This window comes from Homo sapiens, chromosome 19, assembly GCF_000001405.40.
Source record: "Homo sapiens chromosome 19, GRCh38.p14 Primary Assembly".
NCBI classification, from domain to species: Eukaryota; Metazoa; Chordata; class Mammalia; order Primates; family Hominidae; genus Homo; species Homo sapiens.
The window spans coordinates 57,211,066-57,228,233 of NC_000019.10; the positions used below are offsets into that span (position 1 = coordinate 57,211,066).

Below are 17,168 nucleotides of genomic sequence, written 5' to 3' on the forward strand. Positions count from 1 at the left end.
GTGTCGTCGTTACTCTGTCTACCCAGGTCCAATCTGTAATTGTGAAGGTGGCTCCACGAACAGACGCATTGTCTCCTGACCCAGCCTCTGCCCCTAGGTCTCCCATGCAGAATATCCCGAGTCCAAGGACCAGGATAGAAAGAAATTGCAAACCCAAGAATTTGAGATACAGAAAATAGCAACACAGAGGCAATATTTTTATCTATGGTTTTTCACAGAAATGGTAATATTCTTTTTTCCATGTTGTCCTTTACTAACAGGCCCTTTTGTGTGCTGGATTTCTTTCAGGCGACAAAGGAAAACCTAAGACCACAGAACCTACCACTTGTGAGCCAGCCTTGTCAGAGGGAATCTCACTTCAGGGACAAGTGACACAAGGAAACTCAGTGGACTCACAGTTGGGGCAAGCCGAGGATCAGGATGGGCTATCAGAAATGCAGGAAGGACACTTCAGACCAGGAATAGATCCCCAGGAGAAGTCTCCTGGGAAGATGAGCCCTGAATGTGATGGTTTAGGGACAGCTGATGGTGTGTGTTCAAGGATTGGACAGGAGCAAGTCTCTCCAGGAGATAGAGTCCGTAGCCATAACTCATGTGAGTCAGGTAAAGATCCCATGATTCAGGAAGAGGAAAATAACTTTAAATGCAGTGAATGTGGAAAAGTATTTAACAAGAAACACCTCCTTGCTGGACATGAGAAAATTCACTCTGGAGTTAAGCCCTATGAATGCACAGAATGTGGGAAAACCTTTATTAAGAGCACACATCTCCTGCAACATCACATGATCCACACTGGGGAGAGGCCCTATGAGTGCATGGAGTGTGGAAAGGCCTTCAACCGCAAGTCATACCTTACCCAGCACCAGCGGATTCACAGTGGAGAGAAGCCTTACAAGTGCAATGAATGCGGAAAGGCCTTCACCCACCGCTCCAATTTTGTCTTGCATAACAGGAGACACACTGGAGAAAAATCCTTTGTGTGCACAGAATGTGGCCAAGTCTTTCGACATAGGCCAGGCTTTCTCCGGCACTATGTTGTCCACAGTGGTGAGAATCCCTATGAGTGCTTGGAGTGTGGCAAGGTCTTCAAACACAGGTCATATCTCATGTGGCACCAGCAGACTCATACCGGGGAGAAGCCCTATGAGTGCAGTGAATGTGGGAAGGTCTTCTTGGAGAGTGCAGCCCTGATTCACCACTATGTCATCCACACTGGAGAGAAGCCCTTTGAGTGCCTCGAGTGTGGGAAGGCTTTCAACCACCGATCCTACCTCAAGAGGCACCAGCGGATTCACACTGGGGAGAAGCCCTTCGTGTGCAGTGAATGTGGAAAGGCCTTCACCCACTGCTCTACTTTTATCTTGCATAAAAGGGCCCACACTGGAGAAAAGCCTTTCGAGTGCAAAGAGTGTGGGAAAGCCTTTAGCAATCGGAAGGACCTCATTCGCCACTTCAGCATCCACACTGGAGAGAAGCCCTATGAGTGCGTGGAGTGTGGAAAGGCCTTCACCCGCATGTCGGGCCTCACGAGGCACAAGCGGATTCATAGTGGAGAGAAGCCCTATGAATGTGTTGAGTGTGGGAAATCGTTTTGCTGGAGCACAAACCTCATTCGACATGCCATTATCCACACTGGAGAGAAGCCCTATAAATGTAGTGAATGTGGAAAGGCCTTCAGTCGCAGCTCGTCCCTCACTCAGCATCAAAGGATGCATACTGGGAAAAATCCCATCAGTGTAACAGATGTGGGAAGACCTTTTACAAGTGGACAAACCTCAGTTACCCTTCGAGAACTTCTTTTAGGGAAGGACTTTTTGAATGTAACCACTGAGGCAAATATTTTGCCAGAGGAAACATCTTCCTCTGCATCTGATCAACCATACCAAAGAGAAACCCCACAAGTGTCTTCACTGTGAGAAAACCTTCTGTTGCTGAATATTACTTGTCATCTGAAGAGTCATATTAGAAATTCGTTCAGTCTAGAGCCTTATTCTCCATCTGATAATTTATCCTGGAGAGAGACCCAGTGGTTATTGTGCACATAGGAGAACCTTCAGCTGCATCTTTCTCCTTAGTTTACAGTGCAATTTTATCTCAGGAATTATTTTTAAAAGGAGGAGGGGACATAGAAAAAATGAAATGCAAGCACACATCTTTTCAGGCTTCTCTGCCAAGCCTATGGCGCTTTGTCATGGATTTCTTAGTGTATTTGGGGGAAGGGAAATGTTTCAAGGTAAAGAACCTTGACCCTTTATGTGCTTGTATGTACATTTATTGCTATCCAGTGTCAGAACAGTTAGTTTAGGAAAAGTATGCAAACTTTAATCGCACATCTTCTGTATTCCACAATAGTACTTACTCTTGAGAAGCATAACTTTATGACAACTTAGGGGGCTTGAGCCATGAAATACTCACGTTTAAGTCAGTAAGGATACACATGTTAACATTCAGGCTTTTGTCTTGATGCCCGTCTTTTGGTTTACGTCATCATTGTAGCCATATGGTAAATTTTTATTTGTTAAATTTTTAAAAATTACTTAGCTCAAAATGTCAGTGGTAAATTTTTAAATTGAGTAAAGTGATTCTTCTTTGCTCTTATTTAAAATCGACAGCATTTCTAGTTCCTTTGACATTCCATATAATTTTTAGGATTAGTTTGTACTTATTTACAAAACAGTCTTGTTCAGATTTTTACAGAAATTGAGTTAAGTCTGTGGATTAATCTGTTAAGAATTGGTATCTTTACTATGTTGGGTCTTGTAGTTCATGAGTGCAGGAGTAGGCCTCTTAATTTATAATAGTTAAGCATTCCTTAAAGTATTTCATTAATGTTAAAAATTTTCAGCGTATAGATCCCTATGCATTTTTGTTAGAATTTGCATCCTAGGGTGCTTTTTTGTTTGTGTGTGTGTGTAATTTGAGTGATTGTAAATGGCATTGATGTTTGAACTTTGAATTGCACACAATTTTTGGTAGTATACAGAAATATAATATTTTTGGACATTGTTTTGCTACCCTGCAACCTTATTGAGTTCACTTATTATTTTTAGCTATTTCTTTCGACAGAATCCTTGGAATTTTCTATATAGAAATGTCATCTGCAAATACAGACCATTTTTTATCTTTCATCTTACCTGTAATATACCTTTTATTTCCTTTTTGTTTGTCTTATTGCATTGCACAAGCTGGGACTTCCATTATAGCGTTGAATAGGAATAGTGAGAAAGGCCATCCTTACCTGGTTCCTGATAGTAGGGGGGACAATGTTCAGTTTTTTGTTTTTTTGTTTTTTGTTTGAGACAGGGTCTCGCTCTGTCACCCAGGCTGGAGTGCAGTGGCACGATCTTGTCTCACCATAGCCTTAAGTTCCTGGGCTCAAGTGATCCCCCCACCTCAGCCCTCACCACCCCCCAGTAGCTGGTACTACAAGCATGCACCACCAGTCCCAGCTAATTTTTGTATTTTTTGGTAGAGACAGGGTTTCACCATGGTGCCCAGGCTGGTCTTGAACTCCTGGGCTCAAGCAACCTGCTTGCCTGGGTCTCCCAAAGTGCTGGGATTACAGGCGTGAGCCACAGTGCACAGCATGTTCAGTTTTTCATCATGAAGTATAATGTAAGTTTTATAAAACATATGTCCTCTATAAGGGTAAAAAATTTCCTCTGTTCCCAGTTTTCTGAGACTCTGTGTTGCTATGAATAAGTGTGGAATTTTGTTCAGTACTTTTTCTCCACCAGTTGATGTCATTATGCTATTTTCCTTCTACATCCTATTGATGGAATGTATTGCTTTGATCAAGTTTTGAATATTGAGCCAGCCTTGCATCCTTAGAATAAACCATACTTGTTTGTAGAGTATAATTGTTTTTATATATCATTTGACATCATTCCCTTTGTTTGTATTTTGTTGAGGAAATATTCCTCTAATTTATTGGCTAATAATGTGTAGTTCTTTTTTCTTTTGTTTCTTATGTTCTAAATGTCTTATGTGTGGTTTTGATGTCTAGGTGATCTTGACCTTTCAACATGAATTGGAAGGAGTTCTCTTCTAATTTTTGGAAGACTGTGTAGAATTGGTGTTATTTGTTCTTGTCATGTTTGATGACCTCTAGTCAACCATTGGGCCAGAGATTTTTCTTCTGGAGGCTTTTAAATTACATATTTATTTTATTGGATAGGTAGAACTATTCGAAGTATCTATTTCTTGTGTAATAAATTTTGATAGTCTGTCCTGTTGAAGGAATATTTCATCTGTATTTGTAGCACTCCCTTATTCTTTTGATAGCAGGATCTGCACTTCTTTTTATTTTTAATATTTAAAATGTGCATACTCATTTTATGATTGAGTCTTCTTAGACATTTATCAGTTTTATTGCGCATCATGCTGAAAGATGTAATTTTTGCTTCATCTCTCACTTCAGAGAACTAGCACTTTATATTAATGATTTGTCTCTATTCTTGATTTCTTTGATTTCTGCTCTGATCGGTATTATATTCCACTTGCTTTGGTTGTATTTGGCTCTTTCTAACTTTTCAAGGTGGGGTTTTAGATTATTGATTTGAGATTTTTTTGCTTTTTTAATGTAAGCATTACATTGTATAAATTTACCTCATATCACTATTGGTTTGATCCCACAAGTTTTAATGTTTTCATTACATTTTAATTCTAATAGTTTTTATTTTTTGAGACATTCTCTCTTAGCCATGAATTATTTAATAGTATGCTTAATTTTCTGGTGTTTGGCATATTTGTTACTGATTTCTAATTTGTTCCATGTTTGATCTGACTGTTTAAATGTGTTAACATTTTTTTATGACCCAGGATAGGGTCTATCTTGTTTCGTATAGCTGCTTGAAAAGAATGGGTGTTCTGCTGTTACTGGGTGGAGTTTCTATAAATGTCTCTATGATCCTGCTCATTGTTATTCAAGTCAGCTATGTCCTTGCTGATTTTCTGTCCAGCATTTCTGTCAGTTGCTGAGAGGGGTGTTGAAGTCCTGAACATAGGCCGGGTGCAGTGGCTCACGCCTGTAATCCTAGCACTTTGAGACCACTAAGGCAGGTGGATCACCTGAGGCCAGGAGTTCGAGACCAGCCTGGCCAACATGGCAAAACCCTGTCTACTAAAAATACAAAAATTAGCCAGGCATGGTGGCGTGTGCCTGTAATCCCAGCTGCTGGGGGGCTGAGGCAGGAGGATCAGTTGAACGTGGGAGGCAGAGGTTGCAGTGAGCTGAGATCTCACCACTGCACTCCAGCCTGGGCAACAGAGCGAGACTCTGTCTCAACAACAACAACAAAAAGTCCTGAACATGATTGTGGAAGTGTGTTGCTCTTTCAAGTTCTATCACTTTTTGTTTGCAAAGTTCAAAGCTGTATTGTTTGGTACATATACATGTAGGTTTGCCAAGTCTTTGTGGTGAATTGACTCTTCTGTCATTATGTGATGTCATTTTTTTGCCTTTTAATAGTCTTGTCAATACTTTACCTGATGTTCTCATAGTGACTCCTGCATATTTTGATTAATGTTTGCATGGTTAATATTTCTTCATTTTATTTTAAAGCTTACCTGTATCATTACTTATGAAGTCAGTTTCTTTGAACAGCATATACTCAGGCCATGCTTTTTTTATTCATTCTGCATATGTCTCTCTTAATTGGTATGTTGAAATGATTTACATTAAAATAATTATTGATATTTTAGGGCTTAAGTGTGCCCTTAAATGATTTTTGTGTTCTTTTTTATTGTTCCTCTGTTATTTGGGGTTGTTTACTAGTCTTCCTATAGGTTACTTCACCTTTTTTTTTTTTAATAATTTGATTTGATACATATGTAGTGTTTTTTAGTATAGATCCTCCTTGACTTATGATGGGGTTATGTCACAATAAACCCATTGCAAGTTGAAAATACTATGTCAAATATGCATTTAATACACCTACCCTGCTGAACATCATAGCCGATCTTGCCTTCAGAATGCTCAGAAAATTTACATTAGCCTGCAGTTGGGCAAAATCATCTAACACAAGGCCTACTTTATAATAAAGTTACTGCAAAGAATTTTAAATAAAAATTCAAGTGTGGTTTCTACTGAATGCATGTCGCATTCGCACCATTGTAAAGTCAAGTAGTAAGTCGAACCATCCTAAGTCAGGGACTGTCTGTATATATCTGCATTTTTTAGTGATTGTTCTACTATTACAGTGTAAATATATAACTTATGACAGTTTAATAAGTTATCAGCAATTTAGCACTTTACTTCCATTAGGTTCCTTTAGCTTACCTACTAATGTAACTATCTTAAGTAATAGTAATTCCTCTTCAAAAATTGAGCGCTATGTTGCAAGATGTAATTTTTCTTTTCCTTTTTTTTGAGACCAAGTCTCACTCTGTCACCCACGCTGGAGTGCTGTGATGCGATCTCGGCTCTCTGCAACCTCTGCCTCCCGGGTTCAAGCAATTAACTGCCTCAGCTTCCCTAGTAATGGATTACAGGCGCCCGCCACCACGCCTGGCTAATTTTTGTATTTTTAGTAGAGACGGGGTTTCACCATCTTGGCCAGGTTGGTCTTGAACTCTTGACCTCATGATCCACCCGCCTCGGCCCCCCAAAGTGCTGGGGTTACAGGTGTGAGCCACTGCACCCGGCCACAAGATGTAATTTTTACTTTATCTCTCACACGTATTTTACAAAACGTCATGAGAAACATTGTCTCTTGACCTTTTTTTTTTTTTTTTTTTTTTAAAGAGACAGAGTCTCACTCTGTCACCCAGGCTGGAGTGCAGTGGCACGATCTTGGCTCACTGCAACCTCCGCCTCCTGGGTTCAAGCGATTCTCCTGCCTCAGCCTCCTGAGTAGCTGGGATTACAGGTGTGCGCCGCCACACCCAGCTAATTTTGTATTTTTAGTAGAGACGGGGTTTCACCATGTTGCTCAGGCTGGTCTCAAACTCCTGACCTTGTGATCCGCCAACCTTGGCCTGTCGACCTCTTTACCCATTCCATTGTTCATTCTTCTTTCTTGAAATCCCAAACCTTCTATTAACATTTCTTTTCAGTTATACACTGAACTTTACTGTAGCCTTTCTTCTAGAGTAACAAATGTTCTTTGTTTTCCTTCCTCTAAAGATGTCTTTATGTTTCCTTCATTCCCAAAGAATATTTTTGTGGAATATAAGATTCAGAGTTGGCAGTTGTTTTCTTTTAGACTTCAGAGATGTATCTCTCTGTTCTGTACATTATTGTTTAATATAAGAAACCTACTAGCATTCAAATAATCATTCCCTATTTTACAATGCATCAGTTCTGTCAAGCTTCATTCAAAGTGTTTTTCATTGTCTCTAGTGTTCAGAAGTTTGGCTGTGATGTGCGTGGCATGGAAGTTTTTGGGTGTATTCTATTTGGCGCTCCCTGGTGCTTGCCCAGCTTTTTGATCTGTAGGATTATGCCTTTTGCAAAATTTGGGGAACTTTCAACTATTATTTCTTCAAATATTTTTTCACCCCCCAGTCTTGTCTTTTTTAGGGACTTCAATAACATGAGTGGCAGATCTTGTTTTACACTCCCATGGGTCCTTCAGGCTCTCATCTTTTTTCTTTTTCCAGTCTATTTTCTGTCTTGTTAATATTGATTAATTTTTATTGACCTTCCATGGTCCTCACTGATTGTTTTCTTTGTCATACCTAATCTGTTGAGTTTGTGCAGTGAGTTTTCATTTTGGTTTTGTATTTTCCAGTTGTTTAATTTCCATTGGGTGGGTTCTTTTGTACACCTTCTGTTTCTTTGCTTATTTTTTAACGCCAAAGAAAGACTCTCAGAGAATAGACAACTATATTCCAAAGTCATGGTTCTCTGGTGGTTTGTCTTGACATTTGAATAGAAATGTTAAACTATCTGGGGGAATAGAAAGCCCACAGTCTTCTGAGTTGTGCTACACCAATATTTCTATGAACAGATCTTACAACTGAGAGTGATCTGCAGATTTTTCAGAGTCATGTTCTCCATGGAATGTTTGTAAAATTCCCTAGCTCTCTGCACTGAGCTGAGATCGTGCCACTGCACTCCAGCCTGGGCAACAGAGCGAGACTCCATCTCAAAAAAAAAAAAAATTCTCTAGCTCTCTATGCCTTGTTGTATCCTCAGGAAGGAGTCACCTCTCTTCCAGGATCACTCTTGCCTTTTGTTATTGGACACATTTTCCTACCTCCTGCCCAGTCTTTTTTAGGCTCTCTGTCATACTTCCTCGCCTAGTCTTTAACTTGTCTCTGATAACCAGATTTTTCCCCCATAATCTGTATCTGTATTCAAGTCTCTATCCTCATCCCCAAATGGATTTCACCCCGCTTGTCCATCAGTCTCTGCCCATTTCTTCTGTCTCCCACAGACATGGTCTGTGTAGTTGTTCTGCACACTACCCGTCCTCGCCCCTTCTCATTTCCCTCACTCCACGGACAGCTACAGGAGGGCTTCCATCATTTGTCCTCTTACTTCCTTGTTAGAACTTTGTGCTGCTGACCACCACTCTGAACCAAAACTTCTTTCTTGGTTCTTGAAAGTTGCTGTCTTTCTCCTCCAGAGGGTCTGTGTCTTCCTTCCAACTCTTAAACATTTTTGTTTCCCAGAATCCATCATTGGCCATTGCTTTTTCACTTGCCATGAGCTCTGTGAATGAGATGGTTCCTGCTGAAGACATTTACTTTCAATGATCTACAGAATTTCCCAAATCTATGTCTCCAGACTGGATGTTTCTCACGTCTGTGGCCCACTGGGCATCTTCTGCACTTTCTCTGCATTTGTAAACACTGAGCCTGTATGCGTGTCTATGTGGCCATGGCCCTGGCCGTGGGGATGCACCCATAATTATAATGAGAGCAGGTGAATGTCATGTGGCTATGTATGAGACATTGTTGTGAATGTTTTACATGCATCAGCTCTTTCAACATTTACAGCATCTGTGTGTGGTAGGTAATGTTGTTTCCTTCATTTTGCAGAGCAGAATATAGATAGGCTCAGGTTAAGAATTTGCCCAAGGTTACACAGTTATGAAGTTTGGATTTAGGAATGGGAGGCCACGTAGACTGGCTTCAGAATTCATGTCTTTAACCACTTTATTGCTTCTCATGTTGGGGGGTTTGTTTTCTGGTCACTATTTTTACTAAAGTTGATTCAACAATGCTATAATCTGTTACTCTCATTCGACAATACATCTTGACTGTTTCTTCAACTTGAGGAAGGTAAACCAAAGCCACTCTTTAATGGGTGCAAATATCTGTTGTAACTATGTAGAAGATACAGTGTCTGGGTTTGAGGACAGGGGAGTGGGAAAACTGAGTAGGGAAGCGGTAAGACATGCATCTGGCTTTAGGAGTGTTTGAAGTGCCTAAAGATCAGGGTGAATTTCCCAAATTTGAATCTTGTTGCCCAAGCCACATTGCAACCACCTCTTTTTCTCTTACCTCGTCCCCACATCCAGGCACTGCCCCATTCTGTTCATTCCACCTTTTTTTTTAGTAGACCCTCCATATATGTGTGTGTTTTGGTGAATGGCCACACACAGCAAAGTTATTTTTATTGCAATTTTGTTGTTGTTGTTTGAGACACAGAGTCTCATACTCTGCCACCCAGACTGAAGTGCAGTGGTGCGATCTCAGTTCACTGCAACCTCCATCCCCCCATGTTCAAGCAATTCTCCTGCCTCAGCCTCCCAAGTAGCTGGGATTACAGGCATGGGCCACCATGCCCGGCTAATTTTTGTATTTTTTGTAGACACGGGGTTTCACCATGTTGGCCAGGCTGGTCTCACACTCCTGACCTCAGGTGATCCACCCGCCTCGGCCTCCCGAAGTGCTGGCATTACAGGCATGAGCCACCACACCCAGCCTTTATTGCAATTTTTGGTTCCCTCACAGAATGTTTACCATGAAGCTGTGCGTATAGGTGGTACCATGTATGACATACCTTGACCTCAAAGATAATCTACCTGGGCTTTTTTTGTTTGTTTGTTTTGAGATGGAGTCTCACTCTGTCACCCATGCTGGTGTGCAGTGGCGTGATCTTGGCTCACAGCAGCCTCTGCCTCCCGGGTTCAAGCGATTCTCCTGCCTCAGCCTCCTGAGTAGCTGGGACTACAGGTGCCTGCGACCACACCCAGCTAATTTTTGTATTTTTAGTAGTAGTGGGATTTCACCATGTTGGCCAGGATGGCCTCCACCTCCTGACTTCATGATCCACCCGCCTCGGCCTCCCAAAGTGCTGGGATTACAGGCGTGAGCCACCGCACCTGGCCTACCTGGGCTTTTTTGGACAGATGTACATGATTTTAGAAATTGTTATGAATGACTGTCTTGGGATCCTCAAGAACACCCCCAGGTTTGACGATTTGCTGAGAAGACTCAGGTCTCAGCATTCTGTCATACTCAACAGCTATGATTTACTGCAGCAAAAAAATACAAAGCAAATAGTAAAGGGAAAAAGCCAAAATTCAGAGAAAACCAGGCACAATCTTCTGAGTCTTGTTTCAGTGAAGTCACAGGATGTGCCTTATTTAAGTTCCATCTGGTACTTATGACAACACATGCTATATGTCCACTGGGAAGCTTATTAGAGACTCAGTGCCAGGGTTTTTATTGGGCATGTTTTCTAGCACATCCCACAATTCTGGACTTCCAGAAGGTTAGCAGGGGTTCAGCTTTTCAGCTGAAAACGTTATCCCCCTTTCAGCTGGGGGGAAAAAAAGGCACCGAAAAACAGGGCAGTGAGCTACTCCTGTTTTGGGTGGGTGGAGCAGTAGTAAGCCTCCCAAAATCTAAGGTCCCACACTCCAGCAAGGGTGAACCTTGCAAACTCAAAAGGATAGCAGTCTCCAACCTGCTGTTTTATACAGTGACTTAAGTGGTACTAAAATGCTATATAAGTCAAATTTACGTAACATTAAGCAAATAATTTTTTTTCAGCAAAAAAATAATGGTCATGACTTTGTGGTGAAGGCTTATGTAATGATTGTAATAAATTCAGGTGGCTCACGCCTGTGATACCAGCACTTTTGGGAGGCTGAGGCGGGTGGATCACTTGAGGTCAGGAGTTTGAGACCAGCCTAGCCAACATGGTGAAATCCCATCTCTACAAAAATGAAAAATTAGCCGGGCGTAGTGGTACATGCATTTAGTCCTAGCTACTTGGGAGGCTGAGGCAGGAAAATCGCTTGAACCTGGGAGGCAGAGGTTGCAGTGAGCCGAGATCATGCCACTGCACTCCAGCCTGGGTGACAGAGTGAGACTGTGTCTCAAAAAAAAAAAAAAAAAAAAAATGCCTCAGTTTTGTTAAGAGGAAAAAGCAAATCCTAAGTTACAGTGGAACTTATGAACACCCTAGCCTAGAGATTTAATTTAGTGATGAAAAGGTACAGAGAGAGTCTTTCAAGAAAGGACCTAGTCTGCTCGCGTTCTCTCTCTCTCTCTCTCTATATATATATATGTATATGTGTGTGTACATATGGACCACTTCAAGCTACACACACACACACACATATACACGTGTATGAATATATATATATGGCTATAAGTGGTGCGACTTGCAGGTACTCCCTTTGTTCACCTTTGTAAAGATGTTATTGCCAGTTCAGTGTGTATTTCTATAGTATATATGTAAACAATTTGTCATCCTTTTGTTGCTGCTTTTGAAACTAGTTCATGGCTTCAGTGGGGGAGAGATTTAAATAATATGGGTTTATAATTTCTGCATTATTAAATGCAGATAACTTGTGATTAAAGAGTATGTTATTGGAATCATGTTTGCCTGAGTTTTACTTTGGAGGAGTTGAACAGCTGACTCCAGCCGAGAGGTCCCCTACAGAGACGGGATGTTGGAGACCCACGGGAATCTGGCTTGTGGGAATTGCACAGCACCCTTTTTATCATACCGCAGCATGGCCTTTCCTGTCTCGATTGTGGGAAGCTGGAGTGCCTCTGCAATGTTCAGTAGTGTGCTTGGGTTTTGAGGGTCAAAGATTTTTAATCTTTGCCACAGGCATGTTACACATCTTAAAATTGTGTGGTCTCAACTGAACTGCTCCAAGGAGAAGAAACACTGCCTTGGGCGCCCAGTGTTGGATTACAGGTGTGAGCCACCACACCCAGGCTGTATTGCCACTTTCGAGCGAAGAAATGGGCAAGGCAGAATAAACAAGTTATGAATTGGCTAGTCTGAATAATTTCAGGGAGCTCCAGAGTATATAGACTGCTTTTAGCTAGTAACTAGTACTGGGGTACTAGTTCCCAGCTAAAAGTAACTGAGTAAGAAGGGGGATAGTAGCTCCACATGTGAGAACTTGCCAAAGACAGTTGAGGGGTAGGGCTGTGGAATGGCTGGTTTGCATGTGACAGGCAAGATAGCGGAGGAGAAATACCCTCTTGAGTAAGGGTTACGAGCCATGGGCCTTGTGTTGACTGGCCAGGTGACTTTAATGAAATTTTGTCACCCAGGCTGGAGTGCAGTGGCACATTCATAGCTCACTGCAGCCTCAATCTCTCGGGCTCAGGTGATCCTCCCGCCTCAACTTCCTGAGTAGCTGGGATTACAGGTGCTTGCCACCATGCCCAGCTGATTCTTTTTTTTTTTTTTTAAATCTAGAGATGAGATATCTGTGTTCGAAACCCAGTCTGGTGTCGAACTCCTGAGATCAAGTGGTCCTCCTGCCTCAGCCTCCCAAAGTGCTGGGATTACAGGCATGAGCTACTTTGCCTGGCTCAGCATGTGTTTTTATTCTGATATTTTGACAAATGAGACCTTGCTGATCCTGGAGACACTGCTCCTCTTAGAGGTAGCAAAAGTCTCCTCCGCTTTTGCTAAGTTATGAATTGCTAAGCCAATTCATAACTTGTTTATTCTGCCTTACCCATTTCTTCACTCGAAAATGGCAATACAGCCCGGGTGTGGTAGCTCACACCTGTAATCCAACACTGGGCGCCCAAGGCAGGAGGCTCACTTGAGGCCAGGAGTTTGAGACCAGCTTGAGCAACATAGCCAGACCCCATCTCTACAAAAAAAAAAAAAAAAAAAAAATTCACGGGGCACAATAGTGCACACCTCTAGTTGCAGCTACTTGGAGGCTAAGATAGGAGTGTTACTTGAGCCTGGGAGTTTGAGGCTGCAGTAAGCTGTGACTGAGCCACTGCACCTCAGCCTGGACAACAGAGCAAGACCCTGGCTCTTTAAAAATAAAATGAAGAAATGATAACACAGGCTTTACCCACACTTTCCCCTTCCTCCTGTCTCCTAACCAACCGTGAGTCTTCCCTGTTTAGCCCTGTGTGGCTTCATATACCCCCTCTTCATGGGAACTATGAGTTACACACTCATCAGTGGCAGTCTTCTGATCTGTTGGCATCGTCAACGCTAAATAATAAAATCTACATTTTAAAAAACCTACCTGAAAGCACTCATGAATTTCAAGAATTTAGCAAAGCAAATCAGCCATTTCCATGTCATTTCCAAAGAACTGTGTCAGTGCACCAAGCCAAATGTGATACTTAGGTTGGAACTCAGTGGACAGCCATGGAAGGAGGAGGGGGTCAATGCCAAAGAGGGGCTCTCCAGATGCATTGGTAGGACCCAGGCGTTTGAGGGACCATTGTGTTAGCAAAATCTCAACCATCTGAGGGGTTGGGGTTTTTAGGAAGGTAGCTCCTGATGCCCTTCTCATAGCCCGACACTCAAGAAAGCTCAAGCACAACTAATTGAGGGCCCCAAATACACAACACCTTCCGATATCATTCTCCCCGGGCCACTTCTTAATGTTTGCAAGTTTGAAGGAAGAATGCCATCTCCCGGCCCGACCACATGGTGTTTTCTTGATTATCCTCCCTTTCATGGGCATCCTCCCTCCTTTCTTAAGCCTTTAGCCATTTGTAGCTGTGTGGTCTTTCAACATCTCTGTACTCTTGTTCTTCCTAGTTCCATGTCCTGGCTCTCAGGTATAAGAACTCACATATGTTCAAAGTGTGTCTCTTGATCTTTGAAATTAGGCTTCAGCAGTGACAGTAATCTTTTTTCATCTCAGTTTCTTGACTTTTGGCATACATGTCATTTCAGCCACCTACAAGCCTATTTTCCATCTGCATGTTCTTTTGCTGTGTGTGTGTGTGTGTGTGTGTGTGTGTTTGACATAGGATCTTAGGCTGGGCGCGGTGGCTCACACCTGTAATCCCAGCACTTTGGGAGGTCGAGGCAGGTGGATCACTTGAGATTAGGAGTTTGAGACCAGCCTTGCCAACATGGAGAAACCCCGTCTCTACTAAAAATACAAAAAATTAGCTGAGTGTGGTGGTGCATGCCTGTAATCCCAGCTACTCGGGAGGCTGAGGCAGGAGAAATGCTTGAACCCGGGAGGTAGAGGCTGCGGTGAACCAAGATTGCGCCATTGCACTCCAGCCTGGGCAACAAGAGTGAAACTCCATCTCAAAAAACAAAAAACAAAAAAAAAATAGGGTCTTCTGATCATGGCTCACTGCAGGCTCAGCCTCCCAAGTATCTGAGACTACAGGTGCACATCACTATGCCCAGCTAATTTTTAAATTTTTTGTAGAGATGGGGGTCTCCCTGTGTTGCCCAGGCTGGTTTCAAACTCCTGGGCTCAAGCAGTCCTCCTCCCCTGGCCCCCAAAGTGCTGGGGTTACAGGCATGAGCCACCGTGCCTGGTCTTCATCTGCATGTTCTTTTGTCATTTTCAAACCCTTTCTGAATTATCCTCACACTTCTTGAGTATCAGACATCACCAGTCTGATCTTCCATATGTCCCTATGTCTGTATGGGCTTCTCCAGCTTTGAGTTCTTTGTCTTTTCCTCACTCTCTTCCTCTAATGGAGGAGCCTCTTGGGGCTCATGTCACGCTCCCATTACCTCTTCCTTGTGTTATTTCTCTCCACGTCCCGCAACTCCCCTCTCCTTGTAAACTCCCCGGCTACAGCACCACGCTTTTTACCACTCTGGTGAAGGTCAGCAGTGGCTCCCTGTTTATGAATCCTAAGTCCTTGTCTTTTCTGGGCTATGGACAGGACTTGAAACTGTTGTTGTCCAGTCCTTTCTCCAGATGTACTCTTGGATTCTGTAAGGTTATGCTTCTGGTTTTCTCCCCTGCACCCTCTCACTCCTTTTCCCCTTTCATGTTGGTGCATCCACGTGTATCCAGCCATTTGGTGTTGAATTTTTTTTCTTTTTTTTTTCTCTTTGAGACAGAGTCTTGCTCTGTCTCCGGGCTGAAGTGCAATGGCATGATCTCGGCTCACTGCATCCTCCGCCTCCCAGGTTCAAGTGATTCTCCCGCCTCTGCCCCCTGAGTAGCTGGCATTACAGGCATCTGCCATTATGCCCGGCTAATTTTTGTATTTTTGTAGAGACGGGGTTTCACCATGTTGGCCAGGCTGGTCTTTAACTCCTGACCTCAGGTGATCCGCCTGCCTTGGCCTCCTAAAGGGCTGGGCTTACAGGCATGAGCCACCGTGCCTGACCGGTGTTGAAATTTCTAAGGCTTTGTCCCAGGCCTCTTTTTTCTCTTACTGGTCTCTCCCCAGGCCTCATCTGCACTCTTGGGTTCAGCTACCTACTTTAGTGAACATACCCTAAAACGTATTTCCCCAACCCTCATCTCATACAAGTCTTACTGCTCTCCTTTCACTCCATGCTTCCCTTTCCTTTTCCCACTCGAGATGGAGCTTCCACCACCTGCTTTGCCCAGTTAGCAAATGTGTATCCTTCATTTTGTCCCAGAGAGCACACCTTCACAGAAGCCCACTAGAGCACCCAGCTAGCTCATACCCATTCTTTCATGATTATCTATTGATTTGTTTGGTTATTGAATAATGACCGTATCCTGAACTCAATTTCCAGCTTCGAAAAAGCACAGACCTTGATCTAGATTTTCTCCTAATGTTCCATGTGCATAGTTTGTAGTCAATAGTATGTATTCAGATATTTGTTAGGTGAATGAGCCTTAATCATTTTTGACATTTTAGGTTATGTGACATTCTCTCCCCAGTACCACCTCAGGCTCGATGATTTGCCTGAAAGTCAAAATTCAGAAAAGAAAGTCACACACAACTCAGAAAAGCTGTTGTACTCATGGTTACAGTTTATTACCACAAAAGGATAGAGACCAAGATCACCAAAGGTAAAAGGCACATAGGAGGAAATCTGTGAGAAACCAGGCACAATTTTTTTTCTTTTTTCTTTTTCTTTTTTTTTTTTTTTTTTTTTGAGATGGAGTCTCGCTGTGTCACCCAGGCTGGAGTGCAATGGCACAATCTCGGCTCACTGCAACCTCTGCCTCCCAGGTTCAGGTGATCCTCTGCCTCAGCCTCCCAAGTAGCTGGGATTACAGGCATGTGCCACCACACTGGCTGATTTTTGTGTTTTTAGCAGAGATGGGGTTACACCATGTTGGCCAGGCCAGTCTGGAACTCCTGACTTCAAGTGATCCACCCGCCTTGGCCTCCCAAAGTGCTGGGATTACGGGTGGAAGCCACTGTGTCCAGCACAGGCACAAACTTAGCAGGTGTTCCCTCCCAGTGCAGTTGCACAAGGGCACACTGAATTCTCCCAGCAAAGTTGTGTGCAACACATTCACAGTATTGCCAGCCAGGGAAGCTCCCCCAAGCCTTGACGTCTAGAGTTTTCGTTAAGGGTCATTGAGGTAGGAATGCAGAACCCACATGAATAACCATAAATATCCAGTCTACAACCCTTGCAGAAAACAAACATATAGCATGGCCCAGGGCCTCATGCATGCAAAAGCCAGCATCCACCATGAATCATATTGTTAGCATAAATTATCTGGTCAAACGTGCAGCAGGACCTACTTATGGTTTTCGACATAAAAATCTTACCAGGCAAGATACCCCAAGAGGTTGTTTTCCTGAAGTTGGCCCTAATTCATTCTAGGGTCAGATATCAGATAGCTGCGGACAGTGCCTGTGTCCTAAAACCTGCCAACATTATTCACAGTAGCAAATCCTATTCTGTTTATGCTGCCCCTGCCCTGCCTTGCCTTGCCTTTCTGGTGGAAAACACAGCGCAGGCTCTGGGCCTTGCTTTCTCCTCTGCTGCTGCTTTCTAACCTGCTCTGGTGCTTCCACCCGCATGGTGTGCTCTGCCTCCTGTTTCTAGGGATCTCTTACTA

General features: G+C 42.9%; 1 protein-coding gene across 3 annotated transcripts in view; it reads left to right on the forward strand.

Annotated features, from left to right (window-relative positions):
* The window catches only part of ZNF264 (zinc finger protein 264), a 31,347-nt gene extending 19,566 nt beyond the window's left edge, over nt 1-11,781 (forward strand). For all 3 annotated transcript variants that reach the window (NM_003417.5, XM_011527522.3, XM_047439724.1), the window contains one exon: nt 289-11,781. In NM_003417.5, the coding sequence (NP_003408.1) occupies nt 289-1,916 (1,628 nt within the window). In that variant the 3' untranslated portion in view covers nt 1,917-11,781. The remainder of the gene's footprint in view (nt 1-288) is intronic.